The sequence below is a fragment of the Homo sapiens genome, chromosome 20, assembly GCF_000001405.40.
Source record: "Homo sapiens chromosome 20, GRCh38.p14 Primary Assembly".
NCBI classification, from domain to species: Eukaryota; Metazoa; Chordata; class Mammalia; order Primates; family Hominidae; genus Homo; species Homo sapiens.
Window position 1 is genome coordinate 37392707 of NC_000020.11, and position 26887 is coordinate 37419593.

Below are 26887 nucleotides of genomic sequence, written 5' to 3' on the forward strand. Positions count from 1 at the left end.
GAATGAGAGGGGCTGGACCCTAGTTCCCAGGTCTCCCTGCCCATTGACCTCTCCTCACTCCCTGTGGACCCCGTCCCTGTCCCCTTGGTTGCTTTGGATGTGAGGCCTCTGTGGCTGCCCCCTCGTCCCCTGTCCCCAGCACCGCCTGGCTCTCCCGCTCTCTCCCCTGCTCTTTCTGCCACTCTCCGCCTCTCACCACCCCCATCTCTGCCTCTTCTCTCCTGTTGGGCTCTCGCTCTCTCCTCCCTCCTCTGTGTCTCTGGACCCCCGCTCCAGCCAGACCTGGTTCACATTCAGATGGCTGCAAAGGTACTTCCGCCCCTCCCCGCTCCCGCCCAGGCCCAGGGGACCCGACCACGCCGGGAGCTCTTCCTGCCCCATCCCCATCACACCCCCCACTCCTTCTCCTCACTTTCGCATAGAAGTGCCCTGGGCATTGGGGCTCTGCCACCTCACCCCCTCTGACAGGGCTCACTGTGTGACTTTGGGCAAGTCCCAGCCCCCTCTGGCCTCAGTTTCCCCCTGCAGATGGGTAGGCTGGAGGAGGAGGCCTGTAGTTTTCAGCCGAGGAGCCCTTTAGGTGTGACCCGTGATTTGGGACAGAGGCAAGCCTTGCTCTAGTTTGCAGGGTTGGGGCCTGGATGGTCACTGGGTCCCAGCAGGGCCCCTGCTTGCCTCCACCCAGGTCTCACCAGCTCCCAGGAGCGGGCTTCCAAATCTCAGAGCATGGGGACACTTTGTAGGTCTCACTTGACTTTCTCTCAGCCAGGAATCTCTTCTATTACAACCTTACTTGCCCGCAGAGACAGGGGGTTCCCTCCCTCCCTCCCAAGGCAGCTCTCGGCATCTTGAGATGTCTTGGTACATCTGAAAGGAAGTGAATTTCTTCCTGTCCCGGGACTCCTCCCCTATGGATTTGAGCCTCAGATGACCAAGGCCAGTCCTGCCCTGGTCCAAGACAAAGTCCATCTGATCCAGCTTTGGCAAAAAGGCGTCTGCGCCAGGGAGGGGAGGAGTTCCAGGCCAGCTGGACCTGGCATGCTGTGGGGACTCACGCTGGCCCCACCACCTCCCTGGGCCTCCCTCAGCCACTAGAGCCCTGAGCACAGCACCTAGGAGGATGGTGGGCACCGGGCTTGTGGCTGACGGCTCCCTTCTCCTTTCCTCCCTCCTTCTGTCCCTGCTCAGAGAGGGAGACTGGTGGCTGGCCCACTCGCTCAGCACAGGACAGACAGGCTACATCCCCAGCAACTACGTGGCGCCCTCCGACTCCATCCAGGCTGAGGAGTGAGTACCGTCTCTGGCTGCCTCTACCCGTCGTCCCTGGACACTGCCGGTGCAGAGTGCCTCTCCTGGGCTGGGGTGGGAGGTCTGGCTGTCCAGCGCCCCAGCCATATCCAGGGAGAAGCACTGTGAGTGGGCAGAAGCCTGGACAGTCAGCACCATCCTCCGTCCTCCCACCCCCAGGTGGTATTTTGGCAAGATCACCAGACGGGAGTCAGAGCGGTTACTGCTCAATGCAGAGAACCCGAGAGGGACCTTCCTCGTGCGAGAAAGTGAGACCACGAAAGGTACGAGCGCTCTTGCTGGCCAACGGATACTGAGTCTTCTGTGAGTGGTTTGAGCTGGGTGTTGTGGAATGAGCAGGAGTTTGGTTTGTGGAGTAGGGAGGGAAGAACCTTCCGGGTGGAGGTAATGGCAGGATCAAAGTCAGGGAGGTGCATTTGAGGAACACTGAGTAATCCGCGGTGGCCAGATGTCCAGAGAAAGATGAGGCTTAGTCTCTCTGGCCTCAGTTTTCTCAGATAAAAGATGAACATAGGTTGTCTGGAGGTCTGAGTGTCACACAGTAACAGGCTCGTTCCCAGGGTAGGTGCTGCTACAATGAGCCCCGCTTCTTCCTCTTCCCCAGGGGTCCCTGGGCTGCACTGGATGCTGGAGGCTGGTTTTGCCCTCCCCCAACTGCAGTCCTGGTCCCTGCCCCTCTCCTGTCCCTCCCCTGAGCCAGAGAATGAAGACCATCCCCTTTCTCTCCAGCCCCTCTGAAAGTGGGTTGCAGGCGCCCGTCACCATGGCAGCCAAGCTGAGCTGCTTCCTGTGGGCCTGGGGCTCAGCGGGAGATGGGAAGCAGAGCATCCATGTCGAGCCGTGCATTTACGAGCAGTCGTGCAGCCATGTGCGGGTGTGCATGCTGTGTGTACATCTGGGCGTGTGTGTGTGTGCATGTGGGGTGGAATTGTCTGTGTGTTGCTGTGTGGGAATGGACTGCTGTGGTTTGTCTGGTGCCTGAGGGCCTAGGGAGCGTGTACTTGTGTGAGCGTGTGGCTACTGGGCATGGGCATGCCTGTGCGTGTATGGACATGTGGCTGGGGTTGGCTTCAGCCTCAGGCCTGTGGCTTCCACATGCACCCTCCCGGGCCATCAGTAGAAAATCATGGTTGCCTAAGGCAGGCTTTGAGTCCCCGGATGTGGGTTTGAGCCCCAGCCCTGTCTCTGGTTTGCTGGGTGACCCCAGGCTGGCCACTTCCCTCTCTGGACCTCATTTCTTCTGTACGCTGGGATTGTAATCTCCTGAAGATCGCAGAGGGGGAGGTCTGTGGGCTAGGATGGCTGGGCTTCCCCCATGCCCATGCACTGCCTGGCCAGGCTCCTGAGAAGGCCTGTCCCTGGCTGCTGGAGCCTCTGCCCCTGCCTCCGGGGCTCAGCCTTGTTCCCTGATGCCATTTGGGCGTCTCTTGGCCTCTGGTCCTACCCAGGCCTGCTGGATGGGAGGAAACTTTTCCGGCCAAAAGCTTTTCTATGCTCAAGGGAAAGAGGGGAGGCACCAGGGCTGGCCCCGTTTGACCCAGGCAGCCTTCAGGCCACACCCAGCCCGTGGTCTCCTGCCCACGACGGCCAAAGCCTCTGCCAACCACCCCCTCCCGCCTGAGCCTGGGCCTGTCTTCAGCAAGGAGGTTGGGGGGACATGGACAGTGCCCCCGCAAGCTGACCCAGAGAGGGAAAGCAGTTAGGCCAGGGCCACACAGCCACAGGGAGCCACTCACAGGCTCCCAGCAGTTATTGAGTGCCCAGTGTGTGCCGGGCCCTTCTATATGTGGTTGCATGGAATCTCCCCAGCAGCCCTGGGAGCACCCGCATTGTGCAGAGGAGGAAACTGAGGCCCAGATAGGGCCAGCAACCCCTCCAAGTCTCATAGCTAGGATGTGCACCTGGGATATGGAGGTCTTGCTGGGGCCAAGGGTGCGTGGCAGGACGTACTAATCAAGTGTCTCTTGGGTCCCTTGGCCCTGCCTCTGTGGCTGCCCCGGGGCTGGCTGTTGAGAGACAGGGTGGGCCTGGGGCCCCGCCTGGGCCTCCCTTCCCTCCAATGTCAGGCAGGCACAGAACGGTGTCCAGAGCAGCGGCCTGCGGGGGGAGAGGGCATGGCGGTCACGGCTCCCCTCGGTGCCCCGCAGGTGCCTACTGCCTCTCAGTGTCTGACTTCGACAACGCCAAGGGCCTCAACGTGAAGCACTACAAGATCCGCAAGCTGGACAGCGGCGGCTTCTACATCACCTCCCGCACCCAGTTCAACAGCCTGCAGCAGCTGGTGGCCTACTACTCCAGTGAGCCAGCCTCGGAGGGCGGAGGGCGGGCGGGCAAAGCCTCAGCTGCAGACTCTGGGGAGGGGCCTTGGAGCCTAGAAGGGTGGGGACTTCTGTTATCCTGCTTCTCTCCCCACTTCCCCCTCCCCCCTCCCTTCCTCTCTCCTCCCTTTTCCCTCCTTTCCTTGTCTCCTTCTTCTTCCTCTTCTTTCCCCCAGCCCCCCTCCTCCCTGTCCCCCTCTCTCCCTGCTCCACGCAGTGTCCCACTGCCCGCCTTTCTCTGCAGCTGGCTGGTATGGAGGGGGCTGCCCTGAGGAGCCCCAGAGTAAGCTGGAAGGGAGGGGACAGAGGCTGGTGTCATTTGTCTCTGTAGCCCTAGGACCGGTCTGAACCGGTTGCTGGGAGAGGAGGAGGGGGCGGCCAGATCGATTGCAGCAAAGAGGGAAGAGAGCGGCAGAGGGAGCTCGCGGGGCTTGCGTGCTGGGTGAGGGCTCGGGCGTGGGCGCAGTGCTGTAGCCCACCCACCTGGGCATCCGAAGCTGACTGCAGTGTCGGGCCTGTGGGTGCCTGTGTGCCCGTGTGTCTGTGGCACACATGGCCTCTGTGCACAGGTGTTGGTCCACTCCCCACCCCGAGCCTCCTCCTCCTCTCAGCTTGGCCTCCTGACTTCCTCTGGGATCACCCGCCACTCTCTGTCTCTTCGGCCACCGCTGTGTAGCTCATTCTGAACCCCTTTCCCTCAGATCAGAACTCTCCAGGGGCTGTCTTGGAATCTTGGGATAAAGACCCCCACCGGCCCCTGAGTGGTCTAATCCTAACTGCCTCCCCACCTCCGCCTGGTGCCACCCTTCCCCACCTGCTCCCTGCGCCCCTTTGTCCTCCGCTTCTCCAGCCCTGCAGCTGTTCTTTCCTCAGAGCCTTTGCTCTGGCTGTGCCCCTGCCTGGAGGGCTCTTCCCTACTTAACCCCTCACCGTCCTGCACATCCAAGCTCAGTTGCTGCTTCCTCCAGGAAGCCTTCCAGGCCACTCCTGCTGTTGCGCGAACAGCTCTCCAGTCACATTCACATCTGTGGTCCTGGGAGGTGATTAGGGAAGTGGGGCTCCTCCCTGGACTCTGAGTTCCTGAGGGCAGGTTCCCTGGACATGTTCCCTCCCCGCAGGGTTCCTGGCACCCCCTACTGTCTGCTGAATGACTGACTGAATGACTGACTCAGCAGATGCATAAAGCACTGTGGGCCTGTGTGGGGGTGGGGCTGTGTGCACACAGATGTAGATGCCTGGCTTTGAGGGCACCCTGCGTGTCCCCTGAAATCTGTGTGCATCTGGCATGTAGGGCGACACACACTGAGGGGCAGGGAGGCCCCAGGGCAGAAGACCCGCCTAACTGCTCCTCCTGCCTCCTCCTCAGAACACGCCGATGGCCTGTGCCACCGCCTCACCACCGTGTGCCCCACGTCCAAGCCGCAGACTCAGGGCCTGGCCAAGGATGCCTGGGAGATCCCTCGGGAGTCGCTGCGGCTGGAGGTCAAGCTGGGCCAGGGCTGCTTTGGCGAGGTGTGGATGGGTAAGGCCTGGCCCCTGCCCTCGGGAGAGGCATCCACCCCCCACCCCGTGTGGCAGCTCCGGGCTCCCTTGGTCCCTTTGCCTTTAGCTGCCTCTGCTGGATGACGGGGCCCTGTTGTAAATCTGGAGCTCCCCAGCGGTGGCTGGCACCGAGTTGGGTTGTGGCCACCCAAGCACTGTGCCCCGGACCGTGCAAACCATAGTGCCTGATTCCAAGATCCGCACAGGGCTGGGCATTGCACAGACCTGCTGTGTAGGCTGGGCCCGGTGGCCTCACTCAGAGCCTCAGTCTTCCCGACTGTGAATGGGGCTGGTGACAGTGGGACCTATGGGAGACTGTGGAGACCCTGACCCAGTGCGTGTCCACACACTAGCTGTTCGCCATGGAGAGAGAAGCCCGGCTCGCAGGAGGGAGTGCTGGGAAGCTTAGGTCTGGCATGGTCTGGGCCTGTTAGCGATTTCCCGTCTGACCCTGGAGAAACAGCAAAGCATGAGCACCGTGCAGCCCTGACAAAACCCAGGCCCCTCTTCCACCGGATGCTTTCTGCTCACACGGAGGGACCGGAGGCCAGGGTGGAGGAGAGACGGCGGTTGTAACCCCGTAAGCCCATGGTGCTAGCGGGGATCACGGTGCGCTGTTTTCAAGGTGGTTTCATCTGAGCCGCATCTCCACTCACTCCCACTGCCTCCACGTTCCGCCCTCCAGAGGGCTGATGGAGGAGAGCAGAGCGGCCTCCTGGGTGGAAGGCACTGCAGGGACAGAGGCCTGGAGGCTGGAGGTCAGGCTGTCCGGGAAGGGGAGGCGTGGGCTTTGAGCTGGTGAGAGGGGAGAGGGGTGAGAAGCCAGGGTGTGGGCACAGCCACAAAGTGAGGACTTGAGCAACACCTGGGTGAATGCACAGCGTCAGCCATTATGGTGGCTGCAAAACTCATTTCTGGCTTGGGTGAGAGGTGCTGTCCCTGGGAAGGGCCTCACTTCCTCCCTGGGTGCTCCAGGTCGACTCATGAAGTGCCACATGCAGATGGCCTGAGCCAGCAGGGCCACAGAGATTGGCCTGAGCCCCAACCCTCGGACGGAGGCCCAGCGACTGGGAGGAACGGGCCCAAGGTCACACATCAAAGGAACCTCGAGGCCCACTGGGACAAGAACCTGGATTAAACATGCTGGTCTAGAATGCAGCTTCCCCCAGAGCCCCACAGTTAGAAAAGCAGATAGTAGTGAAATGATAACCACATTACTTACTGAGCCCTCACGGTGGGGCTGGCCCAGTGGTTAAAATCTCATTCAATCCTCAAACAGCTCCACGGGTAGGCACTATGGAATCCCCATTTTCCAGATGAGATAACTGAGGCTTAGAGAGGGGAACTGACTCTCCCATGGTCTCTCCGCTGGCAGGAGGCGGAGGTGAGAGGCTCTGGCCAGCCTGACCCCCAAGCCCTCATGCTTAGGACAGTGTCTCATTTTGGGGGGCGGGTGGGCTCCAGAGGTGACCTCTTGTTCTGGCAACAGCCTTAGAAATCCCTGGGCCAGCTCCACATCACCCCTGGCTTCCACCAGTACACATTGCATTTGCTAACACATGAGGCACGTTCAAAGTCCTGCTCAGAGGGAACATGACTAACCCAGAAGTGACACCGGTTGAGTTGGAACCTTGGTCCCCTATCTGTCTAGGCTAATAAGCTGCTTTTTAGGACTTTTTTTTTTTTTTTAGACAGGATCTCACTCTGTCACCCAGGCTGGAGTGCAGTGGCACAGTTTCGGCTCACTGCAACCTCTGCCTCCCAGGCTCAAACCATTCTCCTGCCTCAGCCTCCCGAGTATCCAGTATTACAGGCACGCACCACTACCACCTAGCTAATTTTTGTATTTTTAGTGGAGACAGGGTTTCACCATGTTGGCCAGGCTGGTCTTGAACTCCTGACCTCAAATGATCCACCCGCCTCGGCCCCCTAAAGTGCTGGGATTACAGGCGTGAGCCACCACGCCCAGCCTGGACATTCTTAATAATCACAGTCCCGACAACAGCTACTGGTTCTTGAGCATTTAATCCTAGTAACAGTGCCATGAGGAGCACCCTGTCATTGTACCCATTGTACAGATGGGGAGACTGAGGCTCAGAAAGGGCCCAGGCTTTGACTGGGTTTGTCACATGGCTGTGGAGGCCACAGCTGACACTGGCGCCCAGGTGGGCAGATCCTGGATCCCTGTGTGGTAGGAGTTGGGGGGCTCCACTGAGTCAGCCTGCATCCCTCCTCAACAGGGACCTGGAACGGTACCACCAGGGTGGCCATCAAAACCCTGAAGCCTGGCACGATGTCTCCAGAGGCCTTCCTGCAGGAGGCCCAGGTCATGAAGAAGCTGAGGCATGAGAAGCTGGTGCAGTTGTATGCTGTGGTTTCAGAGGAGCCCATTTACATCGTCACGGAGTACATGAGCAAGGGTGAGTCCTGGGCGGCCGGGGCAGGGGGCAGGGGCACTCCGGACAGGGCAGGGAGCATGAGCCTCATTTCCTCTCATGTCTAGAATGGGCATCTTCAAAGGTGGAATGCAGTAGAGCCAAATTCTCTGTTGCCTGGGCCGGAGTGTGGTGGTGCAATCATAGCTCACTTCAGCCTCAACCTTCCAGGCTCAAGCAGTTCTCCCACCTCAGCCACCCAAGTAGCTGGGACCACAGGTGTGTGTCACCAGGCCCAGCTAATTTTTTATTTTTTGTAGAGATGGGACCCTATGTTGCCCAGGCTGGTCTCGAACTCTTGGGCTCAAGGAGTCCTCCCACTTCCACCTCCCAAAGTGCTGGGATTACAGGTGTGAGCCACAGTAATTTTTAAACTAATTAGTTATTTTTCAAAATTCCACTTTTTGGAGGTATAGTTTACATATGATAAAATACACCCCTTTTAAGTGTTCAGTTCAGTGGGTTTTAACAACTGGATTTACTGTGTACCCCTAACCATAATGAAGATATATAACATCTCCATCACCCAGAAAGTTCCTCATGCCCTTTGCAGACAGTACCCTCCAGCCCCAAACCCAAGCACCCACTGATTTGCTTTCTGTCATTATAAATTTGTTTTGTTTATTCTAGAATTTCATACATGGAATCTTTTACATCTGGGATGCATTGTTTTTTTACTTTTTACATTTCAATTTTTTATTTTTTGAGATGAGGTCTTGCTATGTTGCCCAGGCTGGAGTGCAGTGGCGTGATCATAGCTCACTGCAGCCTTGACCTCCCAGGCTCAATTGATCTTCTCATCTCAGCCTCTCAAGTAGCTGGGACTACAGGTGCACAACATCCTGCCCAGCTACTTTTTTTTTTCGTATTTTTTGTACAGACAGAGACTTACTGTGTAGCTCAGGCTGGTCTCAAACTATTGGGCTCAAGCGATCTTCCCACCTCGGCCTCCCACAGTGCTGGGATTGCAGGCAGGAGCCACTGCTCCCGGCCTGAGATGCATCCTTGTTGCATCTCCCAGCAGTTTGTTCCTGTTGTTGCTGAGCGGGACTCCGCTGTCTGCATTAGCACAGTTTACCTGTTCACCTGGAGGTGGACTTCTGCTTGTTTCCCATCCTGCTTGCCTTTTGAGTGACAAGCACTGAGTGAGACTTTATTCAGAGATGAGTTTACGTAAAATCTGCTGTGCTGGTTAAAGCAAGGCCAGCCACCTGGGAGGATGGGTTTTGGGAATCACTGCATCCTGGCAGAGGGACAGGGCAGGAGCTGGAGCTGGGTCTCTCTCTGCCCAGGGAGTTTGCTGGACTTTCTCAAGGGGGAGACAGGCAAGTACCTGCGGCTGCCTCAGCTGGTGGACATGGCTGCTCAGGTGAGTCAGCCCCTCCCGCCTCCCCACACCCTTGGTCCTCAAGCACCCAGACCCATCTGGTGCAGCCAGTTCTGGCCTCTTGAGTGCCCCCTCCAAGAAGCCTGCCTTGATTGCCTCCACACTCACTGATCTTGCCGCACGTATTTACCAGGTCTGCTTACAGGTGCCCTGAGGGGTGATTCTGGGCAGCAGAAGGCCCTTACCTGGGCATCAGGGGTCACTGACTTACTGTGGGACCTCGGGCCTCAGTTGTCGTCTCTGTAAAGGTCATTTAGTCGCTTAGCAGACGTGTTCATGCTTGCTGTAGGCAGTGGTCAACAAGCCTTTTTTTTTTTCATTTAATCCTCATCACGACCAGGAGTGACGAGGATTGGCTGTTATTCCCATTGGACGGATGAGAAAACTGAGGCTCAGAGAGGGGACTTGGGCAGCAGGCAGGACCTGGCACTCATCTGTGTCTGGGTCCGCTGGGGCCTCTTTCCCTGGTCACCTCGCTTTCCTGGCTGCATCGGATCTCGTGCCTCCCCTTTGACCTTTGCCTTCTGCCCTCTGCTCTGTGCCCTGTGCTCCCTACTCCCGCAGAGCACTGCTCCTGCTTTCGATGCCAACAGCATTTACTGTGAACTGACCTCACTTGCCTGAAGAAGTGTGGGGAGGGTGGGGAAGGGGTGGTTGGCTCTCCAGCCCCAGAGTGCTCTGTGGCCCTGGGAGGGCATGGGTGGCACCTGAGCCAGGCTCCCACGGTTCCGCCTGCAGATCGCCTCAGGCATGGCGTACGTGGAGCGGATGAACTACGTCCACCGGGACCTTCGTGCAGCCAACATCCTGGTGGGAGAGAACCTGGTGTGCAAAGTGGCGGACTTTGGGCTGGCTCGGCTCATTGAAGACAATGAGTACACGGCGCGGCAAGGTGGGCAGGGGCTGTGTGGTATGTCGCGCTTGGCCTGGGACAGGTCACGTCCCGCTCTGAGCCCCAGTTTTTTCCTCAGCTGTCATTCCTCATGGTGCTTATCTAGCAGAGCGGTCATGACAGGAGGTCAGAGCTGCCCTGACCTTTCTCGTTCCTGCAGGTGCCAAATTCCCCATCAAGTGGACGGCTCCAGAAGCTGCCCTCTATGGCCGCTTCACCATCAAGTCGGACGTGTGGTCCTTCGGGATCCTGCTGACTGAGCTCACCACAAAGGGACGGGTGCCCTACCCTGGTAAGAAGGTCCTCATGGCCTGTCTGTGGTCCCTGAATCCCTCTGCCCTGGTGGCCTTGGGCAAGTCATGACTCCTGCTGGGCCTGTTTCCCCACCCGTAAAACAAAGAAGTTGAGCGTCTGATGTTAGGCTCTCTCGATGGTCCATGCTCTCAGCTTCGGGGACAGGACTTATCTATGGTCACTCCCAACCTGTCCTAGGCAGGAAGCCCTCGCTGCCCTCCCCATCAGCTTCCCCCACCCCACTTTCCTCACCGGAGCCGGGCTCCCCATGCCTCGCTCTGCCCACAGGGATGGTGAACCGCGAGGTGCTGGACCAGGTGGAGCGGGGCTACCGGATGCCCTGCCCGCCGGAGTGTCCCGAGTCCCTGCACGACCTCATGTGCCAGTGCTGGCGGAAGGAGCCTGAGGAGCGGCCCACCTTCGAGTACCTGCAGGCCTTCCTGGAGGACTACTTCACGTCCACCGAGCCCCAGTACCAGCCCGGGGAGAACCTCTAGGCACAGGCGGGCCCAGACCGGCTTCTCGGCTTGGATCCTGGGCTGGGTGGCCCCTGTCTCGGGGCTTGCCCCACTCTGCCTGCCTGCTGTTGGTCCTCTCTCTGTGGGGCTGAATTGCCAGGGGCGAGGCCCTTCCTCTTTGGTGGCATGGAAGGGGCTTCTGGACCTAGGGTGGCCTGAGAGGGCGGTGGGTATGCGAGACCAGCACGGTGACTCTGTCCAGCTCCCGCTGTGGCCGCACGCCTCTCCCTGCACTCCCTCCTGGAGCTCTGTGGGTCTCTGGAAGAGGAACCAGGAGAAGGGCTGGGGCCGGGGCTGAGGGTGCCCTTTTCCAGCCTCAGCCTACTCCGCTCACTGAACTCCTTCCCCACTTCTGTGCCACCCCCGGTCTATGTCGAGAGCTGGCCAAAGAGCCTTTCCAAAGAGGAGCGATGGGCCCCTGGCCCCGCCTGCCTGCCACCCTGCCCCTTGCCATCCATTCTGGAAACACCTGTAGGCAGAGGCTGCCGAGACAGACCCTCTGCCGCTGCTTCCAGGCTGGGCAGCACAAGGCCTTGCCTGGCCTGATGATGGTGGGTGGGTGGGATGAGTACCCCCTCAAACCCTGCCCTCCTTAGACCTGAGGGACCCTTCGAGATCATCACTTCCTTGCCCCCATTTCACCCATGGGGAGACAGTTGAGAGCGGGGATGTGACATGCCCAAGGCCACGGAGCAGTTCAGAGTGGAGGCGGGCTTGGAACCCGGTGCTCCCTCTGTCATCCTCAGGAACCAACAATTCGTCGGAGGCATCATGGAAAGACTGGGACAGCCCAGGAAACAAGGGGTCTGAGGATGCATTCGAGATGGCAGATTCCCACTGCCGCTGCCCGCTCAGCCCAGCTGTTGGGAACAGCATGGAGGCAGATGTGGGGCTGAGCTGGGGAATCAGGGTAAAAGGTGCAGGTGTGGAGAGAGAGGCTTCAATCGGCTTGTGGGTGATGTTTGACCTTCAGAGCCAGCCGGCTATGAAAGGGAGCGAGCCCCTCGGCTCTGGAGGCAATCAAGCAGACATAGAAGAGCCAAGAGTCCAGGAGGCCCTGGTCCTGGCCTCCTTCCCCGTACTTTGTCCCGTGGCATTTCAATTCCTGGCCCTGTTCTCCTCCCCAAGTCGGCACCCTTTAACTCATGAGGAGGGAAAAGAGTGCCTAAGCGGGGGTGAAAGAGGACGTGTTACCCACTGCCATGCACCAGGACTGGCTGTGTAACCTTGGGTGGCCCCTGCTGTCTCTCTGGGCTGCAGAGTCTGCCCCACATGTGGCCATGGCCTCTGCAACTGCTCAGCTCTGGTCCAGGCCCTGTGGCAGGACACACATGGTGAGCCTAGCCCTGGGACATCAGGAGACTGGGCTCTGGCTCTGTTCGGCCTTTGGGTGTGTGGTGGATTCTCCCTGGGCCTCAGTGTGCCCATCTGTAAAGGGGCAGCTGACAGTTTGTGGCATCTTGCCAAGGGTCCCTGTGTGTGTGTATGTGTGTGCATGTGTGCGTGTCTCCATGTGCGTCCATATTTAACATGTAAAAATGTCCCCCCCGCTCCGTCCCCCAAACATGTTGTACATTTCACCATGGCCCCCTCATCATAGCAATAACATTCCCACTGCCAGGGGTTCTTGAGCCAGCCAGGCCCTGCCAGTGGGGAAGGAGGCCAAGCAGTGCCTGCCTATGAAATTTCAACTTTTCCTTTCATACGTCTTTATTACCCAAGTCTTCTCCCGTCCATTCCAGTCAAATCTGGGCTCACTCACCCCAGCGAGCTCTCAAATCCCTCTCCAACTGCCTAAGGCCCTTTGTGTAAGGTGTCTTAATACTGTCCTTTTTTTTTTTTTAACAGTGTTTTGTAGATTTCAGATGACTATGCAGAGGCCTGGGGGACCCCTGGCTCTGGGCCGGGCCTGGGGCTCCGAAATTCCAAGGCCCAGACTTGCGGGGGGTGGGGGGGTATCCAGAATTGGTTGTAAATACTTTGCATATTGTCTGATTAAACACAAACAGACCTCAGAATCTGATCAACAGTTTATTGAACATCTACTGTGTGCTGGAAAGCGAGATGGGGCGGAATGCGAGAACAAACTACCCCTTGAGGGGTCTTTGGGCAGCACTAGTAGCTGGAGGGCTTCAGGCCAAGGCAGGGGTGACATCAGATTGGAGACAGCTACGGCAGAATGTGGCTGTTTGTGAACATCTGCACCTGTGTTAGGGGGTGAGCACCTGGGAGAAGGACAAGGCACATCACAGGACTTCCCTGAGCATGACAAGTTCAGGACTCAAATGTCCGTGGTGGATGGTAGCAGTGACATTGGGGAGTGGGTGGGGCTGTCAAGCCTGCCTAGAGGAGATCACAAATACACGACGAGAATACCGTTGTGTGTGCTCTTCGTGTGTTTCCTAGGAGTGCAGGGCAGGGGTGCTGGGTCGATCCACAAAAGTCCTGAAAACGCTGAAGAAAAATCCAAAGACCCTTCCCCTCCTCCCTCCTTCCCCACCACCGAAGCACACAGTCTTGAAGGTTGATTTGCAACCGTCTATACAAACACATTTATTTTACACAAATATACATCAGATCACACACCTGTGCACCGGAGTCAACTCTGGCCACGACATTGCTTAATTAAAAACAAATTTCAAAAACTGGACATTTTTCTGTTCAGTATTATTTTCACAAGCCAAACACATCATAGTGTCCAGGTCAGGGTGGCATCTGGGTGGCATCTGGAGATCGCAGGGGGCGGGTGTGTGTGTGTGTGTGTGTGGGTGTGGGTGTGCGTGTGTCTTAGGAGTAGAGATGGAGTTCTGGATGTGAGGTTGTGGCAGGTGTTCTCTGCTTGCTGGTGGGAGTATACCTGGATGCGTGTGCCTTTGTGTTCATGGGGGTATGTGCGTGGGCTCTGTTTGTTCGCAGACATGGTGCTTGGATGTTTGTGTGTGAGCACTTGTCTAGGTGGTCTGTGAGCCTGGGCTCATGGAAATGCGTCCCAGATGTGTGTGCTTGGGCATTAACGCGATGAGGTGAGCCGGTCCGCTTGCTCTGGCTGTGTGTGCAGAATGTGTGTGTACTGTGTGAACACAGATCCAGGGGCTTCATGAGCCTGTGGGCTCCTGGAGTGTGTGGGCACCGAGGTGTGCAGCTGGGTTCACGTGGATGTGGGTGGGAACAGCATGTGTGCCCGTGGACCCGTGTGAGCTTGGGCTCGCACCCCCAGCGCTGGCCACTCCCGGCGGGACCCACGTGTGCCCGGGGGCGCAGGGCCACGTGCGAGCGCAACCGGGACAAAGCGCTCGCCCGCGCTGCCGCGGCGGGTCAGGCGTGCGCATGCGCATGCGCGGCGCGGCAGGGTCCAACCCCAACCCCGCGCGCCGGGACAGGAGGGACCGGCCACCGCGCGGCCTCTCTCCTCTTCCTTGTCCATCTGAGTCTTTCTCTCTCTTCCTCTCTCTTGTCTGTCAGTGCCTCTCCAGCCCTCTCTGGCCTTACATCAATTTCCTGTTTCTTCTTTTTTAATTTTTAAAAATTTCAGTAGCTTTTGGGGTTACAAGTGGTTTTTTGGTTACTTGGATAAATTATGTAGGGGTGAATTTTGTAGTACACTCGTCATCCGAGTAGCGTACGTTGCACCTAATATGTAGGTTTTTAAAAATCCCACACCCCGCCTTCCTTGCTTTTTTCTTTCTTTCTCTTTCCTTTTCTTTTTCTTTATTTCCCTTTCCCCTCCCTCCCTCCCTTTTTTTGAGATGGAGTCTTGCTCTGCCCCTAGTCTGGAGTGCAGTGACTCACTGCAACCTCCACCTCCTGGGCTCAAGCCATTCTCCTGCCTCAGCCTCCCGAGTAGATGGAACCACAGCTGTGTGCCCTCATAGCCCGGCTAATTTTTTTTTTTTTTTTTTGTAGAGACGGGGTGTTGCTATGTTGCCCAGACTGGTCTTGAACTCCTGGGCTCAGGTGATCTGCCCCCTCCGGCTCCCAAAGTGTAGGGATTACAGGTGTGAGTCACTATGCCTGGCTGATTTTCCTTTTCTTTCTCTATGTGTCTCTCTGTCTCACTGTTGCTAATTTCTGTCTCTTTTCCTCTTTGCCTGGGTGCTGTCTCTCTTTCTCTAGTCCCCACCCTCCCTTTCTGCCTCTCAGATTTTTCTCCCCATCCACCTCTTCACATCTCTGACTCTTCCCAGGCCCTCCCACACCTCCATGCCTTTGCCCAGGCTGTTTTCACCGCTGAGAATGCCCTTTCTTCCCTCTCTACAACCTGGCAAACTCCTATTCATCCTGCAAAGCACATCTCCGAGGCCACAGACCGGCCCTGGGAGCTCTCCCTGACGCCCTGGAATCCGCAGAGCGTGTCAGCCCGCCCACTAGAACAAGCGCTTGAGGGACTGGGTGACGTTCTCCCTAGTGATCCCAGGTCCCGCCACATTGGTAATGTCTGCTCAGGGAAGGCAGGCGGGAAAGTCGCTCTGCCTCTCCCACTCCTGTCTCTGGCTCCTTCTCCGGTTGGGACTTCCTCACTCTGGGCCTGTGTCCAGTTGGCTTGTGCTGGACTCGGTGTGTAAGGGAGACAGAGATAGACACACAGAGATGGAGTGCAGAGGCGAGAGATGTCATCCACTCTGCTGGGCCACAGTCTCCTGGCCCCGCTGTCCCCTCCTTCGGCCCTGTGTAGTGTCCAGGTGTCTCCCGGGGATATGAGACCCCAGGGCTCCATGCCCCCTCAGCCTTTCCTTTCTGCCTTCAGTTGGTTTTACTCTTAATTCTGCATGCATTTTTTTCTTTTTGAGAAAACTAAAATGTTTCCCCCATGACAAAAAAAGAATATATATTCTTTCTGGCAAAATAGGAAAGATACAGGAAAACACAAACCAACCAACCAACCATATTTCACACCCCCTGCTCCACCCCTCCCGCCTGGAGTCTGGGGCATGTCTCCAGGGTGCATGCAGGGTGTGTGTGGTGTGTGGTGTGTGGTGTGTGTAGGGGTGTGCGGCATATGCGTGTCCCTGCTGCTGTTGCCTCCCAGGCTTTTTCCTATGAGCTTCGAAAGTCTCTTTGTTCATCCTCTGCTTCTCTCGTCCCCTCTCTTCCTCCCTCCCTAGTTACATTCTCCAGACCAGACTTCATGCTGGGTGCACGCATGCACAGACACACACACACACGCGCGCATACACATGCACACACACACACACACACGCACACTCTGCATTTTCTATCATCTCTGTCTTCTTTTCCCATTTTTCTCTCAGAGGCTCTGAAACGCTGTGATTCATAGAGAGAAAAAGAGACAGGCAGAGATTCAGAGATTCAGACAGGACAGACAGGAAAAGGGGATGGAGACAGAGGGGCTGGAGTTGGTGGCGGGGAGGGAGCGGCAGGGAGAGAAGCTTTTTGTCCATCTGTTTGTCGTCTGTGAGGTCCATCCCGATTCTCACTCCCCGCAGCCCTCCCCTTTCTGGGGCTTTTCCCACCCAGCCCTTGGAGCGTGTCTCCTGGGATCCTGGGGCCGTGTCCATCTGTCCGTCTGTGTGTCAGCCTCTGCCTCCCGCCTGCCTCTTGCTGTGGTCTCATTAAATGCTCATCTCTTTCTTTGATTGTTCCACCCCCAGGTTGTGTGTGTGGGCACGTGTGCATGTGTCCATGTATCCAGATCTCTGTGCCTTTGTGGCTGTCCATCTGCCTCCCACCTGACTTCCCCTTCTCCCTCCCTCCTGTTCTTGCCACCGTGTCAGTGTGTGTTTGCATCTGTGTACGTGTATGCACCTGTGTACATGTGTGTCTGTGCATGAATCTCTTGCTCACCTCACTTCCCCTGTCCCAGAGGCTCCTGGACTTGGCATCTGGGGGTGTTCTTCTCCTCACTCCCCATCCTGGTCCAGCCTCAGCCTCAAGGCTTGCCTCCTGGACAATTTCCCTGGCAACCATCCCTGGACATCTTACCTGCAACCTCCGAAAACTCAACTCACTTGTCCACTCCCACTCCGTCAGCAGGGGGACCTCTGGCACAGAGCCACATGCCCTGGGTGGCTCAGCCTTCTCTCACTTAACGCTCTGCTGTGGGCTTTCATTTCCTCTTACCACTTCTGGCCCCACTCAGAGCCCTGTGTCTCCCCCACCTGCCTGTGCACAGGCTGACCTGTGTCATCCTGATCCCCACCATGCAGGCATTGCTCATGGTGCCTCTGCCTGACATCTTTCCTTTCTTTTTTTTTTTTGAGACAGAGTCTCACTCTGTTGTCCGGGCTGGAGTGCAGTGGCGCAATCTTGGCTCACTGCAACCTCTGCCTCCCGGGTTCATACGATTCTCCTGCCTCAGCCTCCCGAGTAGCTGGGACTACGGGAGTGCGCCACTATACCCAGCTAATCTTTGTATTTTTAGTAGAGACAGGGTTTCACCATGTTGGTTGGCCAGGACGGTCTTGATCTTTTGACCTCATGATCTGCCCGCCTAAGCCTCCCAAAGTGCTGGGATTACAGGCATGAGCCATTGTACCTGGCCGACATCTTTCCTTTCTTCAGCCTGCAAATCCCACCTCCTCTGGGAAGCCCTCTTGATAACCCCCTTTGCTGGGTTCCCTTGTCTCTGATACTCCCTGCAGTGAGATCTGTCCTGGCCTTGGTCTTATCGCAGGCTGGGCACCCAGCTGGAGTCCCATTTGGACCTTCGTGGGCCTAGACACCTTGGCCCTTTCCTTAGAAAAGAAAATTAAAAATTACATGTTACGATAGCACTGGTATCAACACGAATATATTAATAGGACATACTGAGACATTTTCTTTGAGTTAAAAGTTCGTTTTTCTTCTGATTTTAAAAGAAATTGGAACATTTTCTTGGGGTCCCAAAAGTATGGTGCATGGGCTATAGATTCACTGATCCCCTCCTCTTGCCAGGCCTGGGCGAATGCCATGCCGGGCAGGCTGTGTATGCTCCCCGCCTTCTACCCTCTCTGTGTCTGTCTTCTTCATTTTGCCTCTGCAGTTTGTCCTTGTGTTAGTGCATTAAAGCAAGACGATGCGTGTGTGTGTATGTGTGTGTGCATGTGTGCATGCACACGCACGCCACATCCTCCCTCTTCATCTCTGTGTCCATCTCTCTGTGTTTGTTTGTTTGTTTGGTTTTTTTTTTTGAGACAGGGTCTTGCTCTGTCTCCCAGGCTGGAATGCAGCGGTGCAATCACGGCTTACTGCAGCCTCAACCTCCTGGGCTCAAGTGATCCTCCTACCTCAGCCTCCTGAGTAGCTGGGACTACAGGCGTGCACAACCATGCCCGGCTATTTTTTTTTTTTTTTTAGTAGAAACAGGGTCTCACTCTGTTGCTCAGGCTGGTCTTGAACTCCTGGGCTCAAGAGATCCGCCCACCTCAGCCTCCTAAAGTGCTGGAATCACAGGCATGAGCCACTGTGCCTGGCTTATGTTCATCTCTTTCACCATAACAGGTTTGTCTCTTTCTCCGGGGTCCCCTCATTCATTCATTCATTCATTCCTGCAACAAACACCTGTGTGTGTCCCTGTGTCTGTGCGTTGGCGTGTCTGCCAGGGAGCAGGGGTCTTGGTTCCTCATCTTTCCCCAGGTCTCCTGCTCTCCCAGATCTGCAGGCTGTGAGCTTTCCAGGGTGGGCCATGCTCCCTGCTCCCGACCCTTTGCCTGCCCGCCTCCCCTTGCTCCAGCATTGGGGTCACTGCTATGGGTGGTGGTTGTTTTCCCTCTCCCCCTTGGTTCTTCCTAGAACACCATGTAGCAGCTGCTCCTGCCCAGCAGGGTGTGTGTGTGTGTGTGTGTGTGTGTGTGTGTGTGTGTGTATGGGAGGGAGTGAGAGAGAGGGCCAGGCCGACATATAGACAGACAGACACCAAGAGAGGGTGACAAGTGCACAGCCGGCACCTGTCTCTCCTGTATTTGCCTTCTGTCTCCTTCCCTCTCCTCTCTGAGGTTTTGCTGGCATTTTGTCTTTTCTCTGGGCTTCCTGCATTTGTGTGTGTGAGTGTGTCTGTGTATGAGTGTGTGTGTGCACGTGGCATGCTCAGGTCTGGGTCCCCCCTTCCTCACCCTCCCTTTGTCCCCCCCAATCCCCACACCTTCTCTACCACAGTCCAGGTGTGAGTGTGGTCTGCGGTGTGTGTGGTGTGTGATGCGTGTGTTGCATGGTTGTGTATTGCATGGTTTGGGTGGTGTGGATGTGGTACAGTGTGTGTGCAGCACGGCCTGTGTGTGGTGTGGCCGTGGCCTGCGGTCCCTTGCGGTTGCCTGCATCCAGCGACGGCTGTGCTGATGCCCCTCCCACCCATCGAGGCCTCTCCTCCTTTCTTTTTCCCTTCCCTTACCTTCCCTTCCCTTCCCTTCCCTCCCCTCCCTTCCCTTCCCTTCCCCCCTTCCTTTCCTTTCCTTTCACTTGCTCCTTCGTAAAATCCTGATTGAGCCATTCCCATGAGGCAGCCCTGGTGGCCGGGGCACACTTCTCTCACTGGGTCGTTCTCTTTCTCCTTTTCTCTCTCTCTTTTCCTGTCTTTGGCTCCGTTTCTGTGTCTGTTTTTCTCCCTCTGTCTTTTGTTTTGTTTCTCTGTTGTCTGAGTCTTTGTCTCTTTGTTTCTATCTTTGCCTGTTGGTTTTAGCCTAGCCCACTCAGGCACTAATTAGTTGTTCCCGTTAGGAAGTGGCTGCAAAGTCGTGTATGTGTGTGTGTGGGGTGTGTGTGTAAGTGTGCATGTGAGTGTATGTGCCTGTGTGAGTGTACATGTGTATGTGTATGTGAGTGTGTATGTATTGTGTATATGTGTGCATGTGAGTGTATGTACCTGAGTGTGCGTGTGAGTGCATGTGTGTGTGTATGTGTGTACATGACTGTGTGTTTATGTGTGTGAGTGTGTGTATGTGTGCGTCTTGTGAATGTGTATGAATGAGTGTGTGTGTGTTCTTGCTCTCTTTCCAACAGTTTTGGCCATGACTCCACCTCCCATTCATTTCCTAAGCGCCCCCCTACACACACACACTCACAGGGTCCTCCCAGGCGTGAGTATGTGTATGTGCAGCTAACAGGTCTGGCTCCTCATTGTTCCCCGAGGCTCTTGCCTACCGTGGCTGCAGGCTGGTGGGATTCCGGCGTGGGCAGCAGCTGCCTCCCCTTGCTCCAGCGTTGGGGTCGCTGCCATCGGCTGAGGGTTTGTTTCTTTCACTTTCACAGCTCTTCCCAAAACACTCGTCTCGGAGCAGCTGCTCCCGCCTGTGTGTGTGTGTGTGTGTGTGTGAGAGAGAGAGAGAGAGAGAATGTGCATGTGTGTGTGTGTGTGTGTGTGTGTGTGTGTGTGTGGAGGGTCACAGCAGCCCCTCCCTGGCCCCCTTTCTGCAGGGCTTGGCTTTTGTGTTCATTCTGAGTCCCTTGCACTTGTCCCTCAGTTCAATCAACACCTCTACATCTCTCCTGTGTACTGGGCTGTGTGTGTGTGTGTGTGTGTCTCCACTTCTCCCTCCTTCCCACCTGTTCTCGCCAGTCTCTAAGGCACTCTGAAATCTGCCCTGGCTGTATGTGTGTGGGTTCACAGGGCGAGGTCTGTGCACGTGAACCAGTATGTGACAAGCTGTCAGGGCATCATCTCTGCCACTGTACCTAATCCTTCACTCTCACCCTGGGGTAATTTCCTTTGTACTTTCCTTTGGTCCACACATGCAGAACAGCTCTTGTGAGTTGTGCACACAGGTGTGTGTGTGTGTGTGCGCGCGCGCGCGTGTGTGTGTGGTGTAGGGGGAGAGACAGAGAGACAGATCTCCTCTTCCCTTTGCTCTCTCTGGCTGCATCTTGACCTTTGCACACCTGCCCGGATCCATCTCTCTCTCCACTTCTCCTAAACCTCTCCTTGTCTCTTTCTGCATCATCTCTGAGGCTTTGCTTTCCCTCTGCAGATGAGAGAGGGTGCTCTGTCCATCCATCCATCTATCCATCTGTCTGTCTGTCCAAGAGTTATTTGTGGGCCCTTTTCTACCTCCCCACCCCTTTCCTGGGCCTGCACTCTTGTCACCCGCCCCCCTGCACCCTCCTGCGGGGCCATTTCAGCGCCCACCCTCTTCACCTCTCCATCTCCATCCCTCCCCGCTTGTGGGTTCTGGACCGGGACCTGAGAACAAAGCTGCCTCCTGGGCCCCACACCCATCACCCGGCCCCAAACCCTTCAAGGCCCGTTGGGCTTGGCATCCTGTTTGGCTCCTTCCCTCATCAGGGGGCCTCATGCAGCCTCACTCCACTTCCAGCAGGTCACCCCTGCCGGGCCATTCCCCTGCCACTCTCTTATGCCCCCCTCTAGCTCAAGGCGATTTCCTTCCTGCCTTATAAATCCCCTACCCCCAATTCAGGTCTCCCAGGGGCCTCTCCTTTTCCATGTGGGGGTCTAGGAGTCGGTCTTTCTCTCCTGGTCAGGTTCCATTTTATTTCCTTTTTCCTCTGACTTGGTCGGGTTTTGTTCTTCCCTGGGCATCACTGGTACCTGTGTGTGTGTGTCTGTTCCTGTCTCCCTGTCTGACGCATTCACCTTTCCTTCCACCTTTTATCCTCTTCCTCTCATTTCAAAGAATTGGGATCTAACTTACATATCGTAAGATGCACAAATCTGAAATGAAAAGCTTTGATGAATTTCACATGTGTCTGCACCTGTGCCTCCACCACCCGGAGCAAGAAACAGACCGTCCTGGCCCTCGAGTGCAGGCTCCCTCCCACCCGCCCCTTGAGGCTCGGGGTGTTTCTCACTGTGTGTATGCGTGACATTTTGTCTGTCTGTCTATCCTGCAACTTTCTCAGCTGTTGCTTCCCTCTGGGAGCCCCTTGTCTTTGTTCCTGCGCTCCATCAGCGGTTATTGAACACCTCCTAAGACGGGCTCCGCGTGTGCCTACCTCCCTCCCCTACTACCCTCCCTGCCTGCTCTCTCCCGCTCCGCTCCCTCTCCAAGTTGTTATTGAATTCTGCTTCTATTCTGTGCGTCCCTGTAGGAGTGTGTGTGTGTGTGTGTGTGTGCGCGCGTCTCCCCGATTGCCCACCACCTCCCCCCTCGCTCTCCTTCCCCCACCTCTGCCTTCCTCCCTTTCTCTCCCACTCCTGGGGGCTCCATCGAGATTGTTCCAGGGTAGCCCAGCCCCGTGTCTCTCTCTGGCTCTTCCACCCCTCCTTCCTCCCCTCGCTGTCTCTGAGGGATGGGCGCAGGCTGGCTCTCACCCTGGGCATGTGCCGGCCTGTCCGTCTCCATGCCAGCTCTGGCCGCCTCCTCCTGCCCCTGGCATCCCCCCATTCCCTTCTGCCAACTCCCTTTGCTCCACACATAAGCTGCCAACATCGGGGTCTCTAGCCAGGATCTCCGAGCCGAGCCCAGACCTGTCCACTCATCACGGTCCATCTCTTCCGCTGCAGAGCAACCCCCAGCCCCCTTCAAGCCCCTACCCCATCCCTCCCCTCCACATCCTGAGCTGTCTTGCTGTCCGTACCTCCTTCTCACTCACTCCAGCTGCGATTTGTGCCTGACCTCCCGCATGGCTCTCACCAGCACCTCGCCTACCTCCCTGCAGACATGACCTTGTCCTCATCTTCCTCAACTTCTCTGGCATCTGACTGTAGACACATTGGTCCCCTAAGCCTGCCCTGCTTCCAGAGGACTCCTTCTCCGAGCCTTGGCCTTCTAACATACTGTTGTTCCTTGTCCTCTTCTCCCTTCCCACCACGCCTGGTGACTGTCCCCACTCTGGGGCTCAGCTCCCCCTTTGTAGGGACCACCCCACCTCCATCCCCTGAGTTCCAGCCCTCCCTGCATACAACCTTCCGGACATTCCATGGGCACCTCACGATGGACTCACACACCCCTCTTTGCCAAAGCCTGGGGTGTCCCGCCTCATATGCCCACTACCTGGCAGCACCCAGCTCAGACCCTGGGCTGGTCCGCTTCCCCTCCCCGCCCACGTCCGGTCCATGTGGTCCCCCAATGGGTCTCGCCCCGTCCCTTCCCCAGCACCTTGCCTTGGGATTCATGTCCCCTCCTGGGCTGTGCTCTAGTCCCCTCCTTGGAGTCTCTGTCACCTGTCACCTCCTGCAGTGCAGCAGCCCGTGCAGTGCTCTGGCCTGCACTTGGCTCACAGCAGGCAAATTTGGTCGTGCCTTTGGTAGATGCTCCCTGACCCAGCACCCACAGGGGGCGGACTTAGGGATACGGAGGCAGATCCGCGGCCCTGGTCCCTGGTCTGGTGGGGAGACTCCAGTGGAGTGTGCTGGGCCGCGGGCCGTAGGCTCATACGCTCCTCCTCAGCTGTGACTTCTCTCTTCTAGTGAACCCCTCTCTTTCCTCCTGCCTCCTGTTGTCCCACCCAACTCTTTCCACTGCAGTGGGGTGTTTCGGCCTGTCTGAGGGAGGGTCTGCGGGCCTGTCCCCGTCTGTCTGTCTGTCTCTGTCTGTCAGCGCTGCGTATCTGGTCTGCCTGTCCCTCTGTCTTCGTGTCTGTGAGAGATGTGTGTGTGTGTGCATTCTGCTGTTGGGCAGTCCTGGCGTCTGATTTGTGCGTGTGTGTGTTTCTTGTGTTGGGGTGTGTGTGTGGTGGTCTGTGTGTCCTGGAGTGGGTTTCTGGCTGGCCGGTTTTGCCGGTGTGGAGGGAGGCCTGCAGCATGGCAGCTGTCTGTAGGGGGCTGTCTGTGTGTCTGTCTCGGTGTATGGGGCTGCTGGCCAGTCCTGCCTGGGTGCAGAGATGAGTTGGGGGAACTCCCTGAGTGCAGGGGTCTGTCTGGGTGATACCATCCATGTGTCCTTCCTTCCCTCTCTGGGGGCTCTGGAGGCATCACGACTCCCCTCTCTCTGTCCGTCTCCCCCTCGTCTTCCCTGAGTCCCCTCCTGGAGGCTTTGTCAGGATCTGCTTGTCACTGCCTTGCCTGGCACGAGGCCTGCGTCACAGAGCGCAGCTGAGACCCTCTCCCTGCGTGGGCCTGGTGTGTGCATCATCTGGGAGCCCCTGGCGGTGTAGGGAGCCTTGCCTCGCCGCTCCGAGCTCTCCAGCCCCTCTCTCTCTCCCTCTGAGCCTTTCTGGAGCTTTCTTCCCCTTCCCGCGTGCGTCAGGCCTCTGTCTGTGCCGTGGAGCTCCCACCCTCGCCCCTCTGGTGGCCTTCCTGCTGCTGAGTGAGTTTGTCTGGAACTTTCAAGGTGTACCTGAGCCCTGCACCCACAAACTCCTACGGGGCAGGGCTGGGCAGAGCCAGGCAGGGCCCTGACATGTTCCTCAGTCCTCACCAGAGCCCCGATTCCCTCCAGGAGCCTTACCTTTTGGAAGCGGATCCAAGGCCCTCACCCGACCTTCAGGGAAGGCCCTTTGGCTCTAGCCTGCGCCCTCCTCGGCCGCCCACAGACCCCGCCACTTTTTGTGCTGCAGTTGCCCTGCCGTTTCTGTGCCTTCGATACACAGGCTGTTCCCGCTGCCTGGACTGCCCATCCCCAGAGAGGCCCTTCCTGGCCACACCATCTGAATGCGTCTCTGTCACTCTATTTCCCCTTACGCTGCTGTTTGTCTTTATAACACTGATCACTCCCTGCCATCTTCTTACACGTTGATTTCTGGCTTAGTTTCAGTCTCTCACGCTATCATCTCTGCCACTATGCTGTAAGCCCCATGAGGGCAGGCCCATGTCTGTGTCGTCCAGTGTTGCGTCTCCAGCTCCTAGAACAGCGCCTGGCATGTAGAAGGGGCTTGATTGAATGAACAATCTCATTTCTGAGCTCTGTCTGGCCAGGATGCAGTGGAAATCCCTCCCCGCATTCACCCAGTCCCCAGGGAGGCCACACCCAGCTCCGTCCTCCCCTTCCCAGTGTGCACATGGAGCCCGTGGCTGCCTCTCAAGCACTTCTGGCCATGTGTCCCTGGCTGCTTCAACCCTTCCTGGGCTCCCTCCATCCCGCGGGCGCCGTCCAGGCGTTAGCCTGGGCGTCAAACCCTTGCATGCTTCAACCCCCATTGCCTCTCAAGCCTCACCCCTTCTCTGTCACCCCCACACCAGCCACCGGCCACCCAGATGGCCTGTCATCTCAGACACCACCCCGCCCTCACACACATTCTCACCCCTCCTGGCCCTTGCAAACTCTCTGTGTGAGGTGTCCCTTCCCAACCTGCCCCGGTGATCGGGCATCTGGCTCCAAGTCACCTCCCCCTGCAGACTGGGGGACTGTCCCCGCCTTCCCCTCCCCGTGCCTCCCACCCCTAAGCAGAGTCCGTGTCTCCCCTGCCACCGTGGCTTCCTGAGGGAAGGGGCTTCCAGGAGCACTCCTGCCGCACCGTGTGCTGATGGTGTCCCATCTGTCCGTCAGGCCAGGCCGTGAGCCACTCGGCTCTGAGTCCCCTGGGCCCAGGAGCGGCTTCCCCCCAGGCGGCTATAGAGAGGGACTCTGGAGGATGAGAGGAGGGGTCCTGTGTCCTGGCCCCTCGGCCCCTCCTCCTCTCCCTCTCTGTCTTCCTGCTCCTCTTCTGAGTGTCCCACGCCCAGTTTCCTCCCTACTGTGTGTGTCTGACTGTCTTTCTGCAACGCCTTCCCCCACTGGAGCATTAGTGCTTCATTGCTCCTTTTGGGCATCAAATACTTTGCCCTGTGTGTGTGTCACAGTGCCCCCCAGTGCCCTCTCTCAGTCAGTCTGTCTGTCTGTCCATCCGTCTATCTCATCACACTGTACTCTTTGCTTTCTCTCTGCCCTAGCCCTGGAGGTCATTGTCATTCTTTGAGCATGTGAGACACACACACACACACACACACACACACAAAACACCAAACCCCCGCCTGGCCCCCTCTCTGTGGGGTCTGGCTTTTGTGCTCATTCTGTGAGTCACCGCATCCACTCCCTCCTTCAGGCAGCACCCCTCGAGTCGCTCCCGTGTGCTGGCCGGGCACGTGTGTGTGTGTGCATGTGTGAGTGTGTGCATGTGTGTGTGTGTGCGTGTCTGTGTTTCTCTGGCTCTTCCCCTGCCTCCAGCCTGTTCTCTGTCTCTAAGGCGTTACTGAAATCTGCCCTGGCTGTCAGAGAGACAGAGGTTGGGAGGGAAGGAAGGGAGGTGGTGGGCAGCTTCCCAGTGCCTGCTACTCACTGCCCGCTCCCGTTCTTCTCTGGCTGTCTCTCTCTCTGTCTCTCAGCCTCTCTGTCTGTCTCTCTCCATCTCTCAGCCTCTCTCTGTCTCTCTCCATTTCTCAGCATCTCTCTGTCTCTCTCCATCTCTCAGTCTCTGTCTCTCTCCATCTCTCAGCCTCTCTTTTTCTCTCTCCATCTCTCAGTCTCTTTCTGTCTCTCTCCATCTCTCAGTCTCTCTCTGTCTCTCTCCATCTCTCAGCATCTCTCTGTCTCTCTCCATCTCTCAGTCTCTCTCTGTCTCTCTCCATCTCTCAGACTCTCTCTGTCTCTCTCTTTGTCTCTCAGCCTCTCTCTCTGTCTCTCTCTGCTCCTGTTCTTCTCTCCCTCTCTCTCCATCTCTTGGCCTCTCTCCTCCCTTCTCAATTTTTCCAGATGTGCCATGTCTGACTCTGCTCATGCCACGTATTTCCCTTCCTCCTCCTCTCTTAGGCTCCGTCTTCTCCCACTTCTTCTGGACTCCTGTGCATCTGTGTGTGTCTGTGTGTGTGTCTCTGAGTGTGTATCTGTGTGTGTGTCTGTGAGCATGTGTGTTTGTGTGTCTGTGTGTATCTCTGTGTCTGTGTGTCTGTGTATTTCTGTGTATGTGTCTCTGTGTGTGTCTCTGAGTGTGTATCTTTGTGTGTCTGTGTGTGTCTGTGTGTGTCTGAGTGTGTGTGTCTCTGAGTGTGTATCTCTGTGTGTCCGTGAGTGTGTATTTCCGTGTGTCTCTGTGTATCTCTGTGTGTGTCTGTGTGTGTGTATTTCTGTGTGTCTCTGTGTATCTGTGTGTCTGTATGTGCGTCTGCGTGTGTATCCTGTGTGTGTGTCTCTATGTATGTCTCTGAGTATCTCTGTGTGTCTGTGAGTGTGTGTGTGTCTCTGAGTGTGTATCTCTGTGTCGGAGTGTGTGTCTGTGTGTGTTCTGGAGTATGTGTCTCTGTGGTCTGTGTCTCTGAGTGTGTGTCTGTTTCTGTGTGTGTCTGTGTGTCTGTGAGTGTGTCTCTATGTGTCCGTGTGTGTGTGTCTGTGACTGTGTGTATGTCTGTGTGTGTCTCTGAGTGTGTGTCTGTGTGTGTCTATGTGTGTCTGTGT

At 56.8% G+C, this 26887-nt stretch overlaps 1 protein-coding gene across 21 annotated transcripts in view, besides 9 other annotated features; it reads left to right on the forward strand.

The window, feature by feature from the left end:
* The window catches only part of SRC (SRC proto-oncogene, non-receptor tyrosine kinase), a 61352-nt gene extending 48008 nt beyond the window's left edge, over positions 1–13344 (forward strand). For all 21 annotated transcript variants that reach the window (XM_047440399.1, XM_047440400.1, XM_047440407.1 and 18 more), the window contains 9 exons: positions 1189–1287; positions 1468–1571; positions 3456–3605; positions 4993–5148; positions 7409–7588; positions 8896–8972; positions 9729–9882; positions 10043–10174; positions 10465–13344. In XM_047440399.1, the coding sequence (XP_047296355.1) occupies positions 1189–1287; positions 1468–1571; positions 3456–3605; positions 4993–5148; positions 7409–7588; positions 8896–8972; positions 9729–9882; positions 10043–10174; positions 10465–10673 (1261 nt within the window). In that variant the 3' untranslated portion in view covers positions 10674–13344. The remainder of the gene's footprint in view (positions 1–1188; positions 1288–1467; positions 1572–3455; positions 3606–4992; positions 5149–7408; positions 7589–8895; positions 8973–9728; positions 9883–10042; positions 10175–10464) is intronic.
* Positions 1466–2322: an enhancer, noted in NCBI's record as "H3K27ac-H3K4me1 hESC enhancer chr20:36022575-36023431 (GRCh37/hg19 assembly coordinates)". NCBI's record gives its function as "activates a minimal SCP1, AML or CMV promoter by ChIP-STARR-seq in primed H9 embryonic stem cells {active_cell/tissue: H9 hESC(primed)}" and the evidence as "EXISTENCE:reporter gene assay evidence [ECO:0000049][PMID:30033119]".
* Positions 2323–3178: an enhancer, noted in NCBI's record as "NANOG-H3K27ac-H3K4me1 hESC enhancer chr20:36023432-36024287 (GRCh37/hg19 assembly coordinates)". NCBI's record gives its function as "activates a minimal SCP1, AML or CMV promoter by ChIP-STARR-seq in primed H9 embryonic stem cells {active_cell/tissue: H9 hESC(primed)}" and the evidence as "EXISTENCE:reporter gene assay evidence [ECO:0000049][PMID:30033119]".
* Positions 3179–4035: an enhancer, noted in NCBI's record as "NANOG-H3K27ac-H3K4me1 hESC enhancer chr20:36024288-36025144 (GRCh37/hg19 assembly coordinates)". NCBI's record gives its function as "activates a minimal SCP1, AML or CMV promoter by ChIP-STARR-seq in primed H9 embryonic stem cells {active_cell/tissue: H9 hESC(primed)}" and the evidence as "EXISTENCE:reporter gene assay evidence [ECO:0000049][PMID:30033119]".
* Positions 4036–4892: an enhancer, noted in NCBI's record as "H3K27ac-H3K4me1 hESC enhancer chr20:36025145-36026001 (GRCh37/hg19 assembly coordinates)". NCBI's record gives its function as "activates a minimal SCP1, AML or CMV promoter by ChIP-STARR-seq in naive and primed H9 embryonic stem cells {active_cell/tissue: H9 hESC(naive and primed)}" and the evidence as "EXISTENCE:reporter gene assay evidence [ECO:0000049][PMID:30033119]".
* Positions 4893–5749: an enhancer, noted in NCBI's record as "H3K27ac-H3K4me1 hESC enhancer chr20:36026002-36026858 (GRCh37/hg19 assembly coordinates)". NCBI's record gives its function as "activates a minimal SCP1, AML or CMV promoter by ChIP-STARR-seq in naive H9 embryonic stem cells {active_cell/tissue: H9 hESC(naive)}" and the evidence as "EXISTENCE:reporter gene assay evidence [ECO:0000049][PMID:30033119]".
* Positions 13657–14046: a silencer, noted in NCBI's record as "silent region_12892". NCBI's record gives its function as "represses an Ori minimal core promoter by ATAC-STARR-seq in GM12878 lymphoblastoid cells {active_cell/tissue: GM12878}" and the evidence as "EXISTENCE:reporter gene assay evidence [ECO:0000049][PMID:35858748]".
* Positions 14622–15541: an enhancer, noted in NCBI's record as "H3K4me1 hESC enhancer chr20:36035731-36036650 (GRCh37/hg19 assembly coordinates)". NCBI's record gives its function as "activates a minimal SCP1, AML or CMV promoter by ChIP-STARR-seq in primed H9 embryonic stem cells {active_cell/tissue: H9 hESC(primed)}" and the evidence as "EXISTENCE:reporter gene assay evidence [ECO:0000049][PMID:30033119]".
* Positions 19299–19808: an enhancer, noted in NCBI's record as "H3K4me1 hESC enhancer chr20:36040408-36040917 (GRCh37/hg19 assembly coordinates)". NCBI's record gives its function as "activates a minimal SCP1, AML or CMV promoter by ChIP-STARR-seq in primed H9 embryonic stem cells {active_cell/tissue: H9 hESC(primed)}" and the evidence as "EXISTENCE:reporter gene assay evidence [ECO:0000049][PMID:30033119]".
* Positions 19809–20317: an enhancer, noted in NCBI's record as "H3K4me1 hESC enhancer chr20:36040918-36041426 (GRCh37/hg19 assembly coordinates)". NCBI's record gives its function as "activates a minimal SCP1, AML or CMV promoter by ChIP-STARR-seq in primed H9 embryonic stem cells {active_cell/tissue: H9 hESC(primed)}" and the evidence as "EXISTENCE:reporter gene assay evidence [ECO:0000049][PMID:30033119]".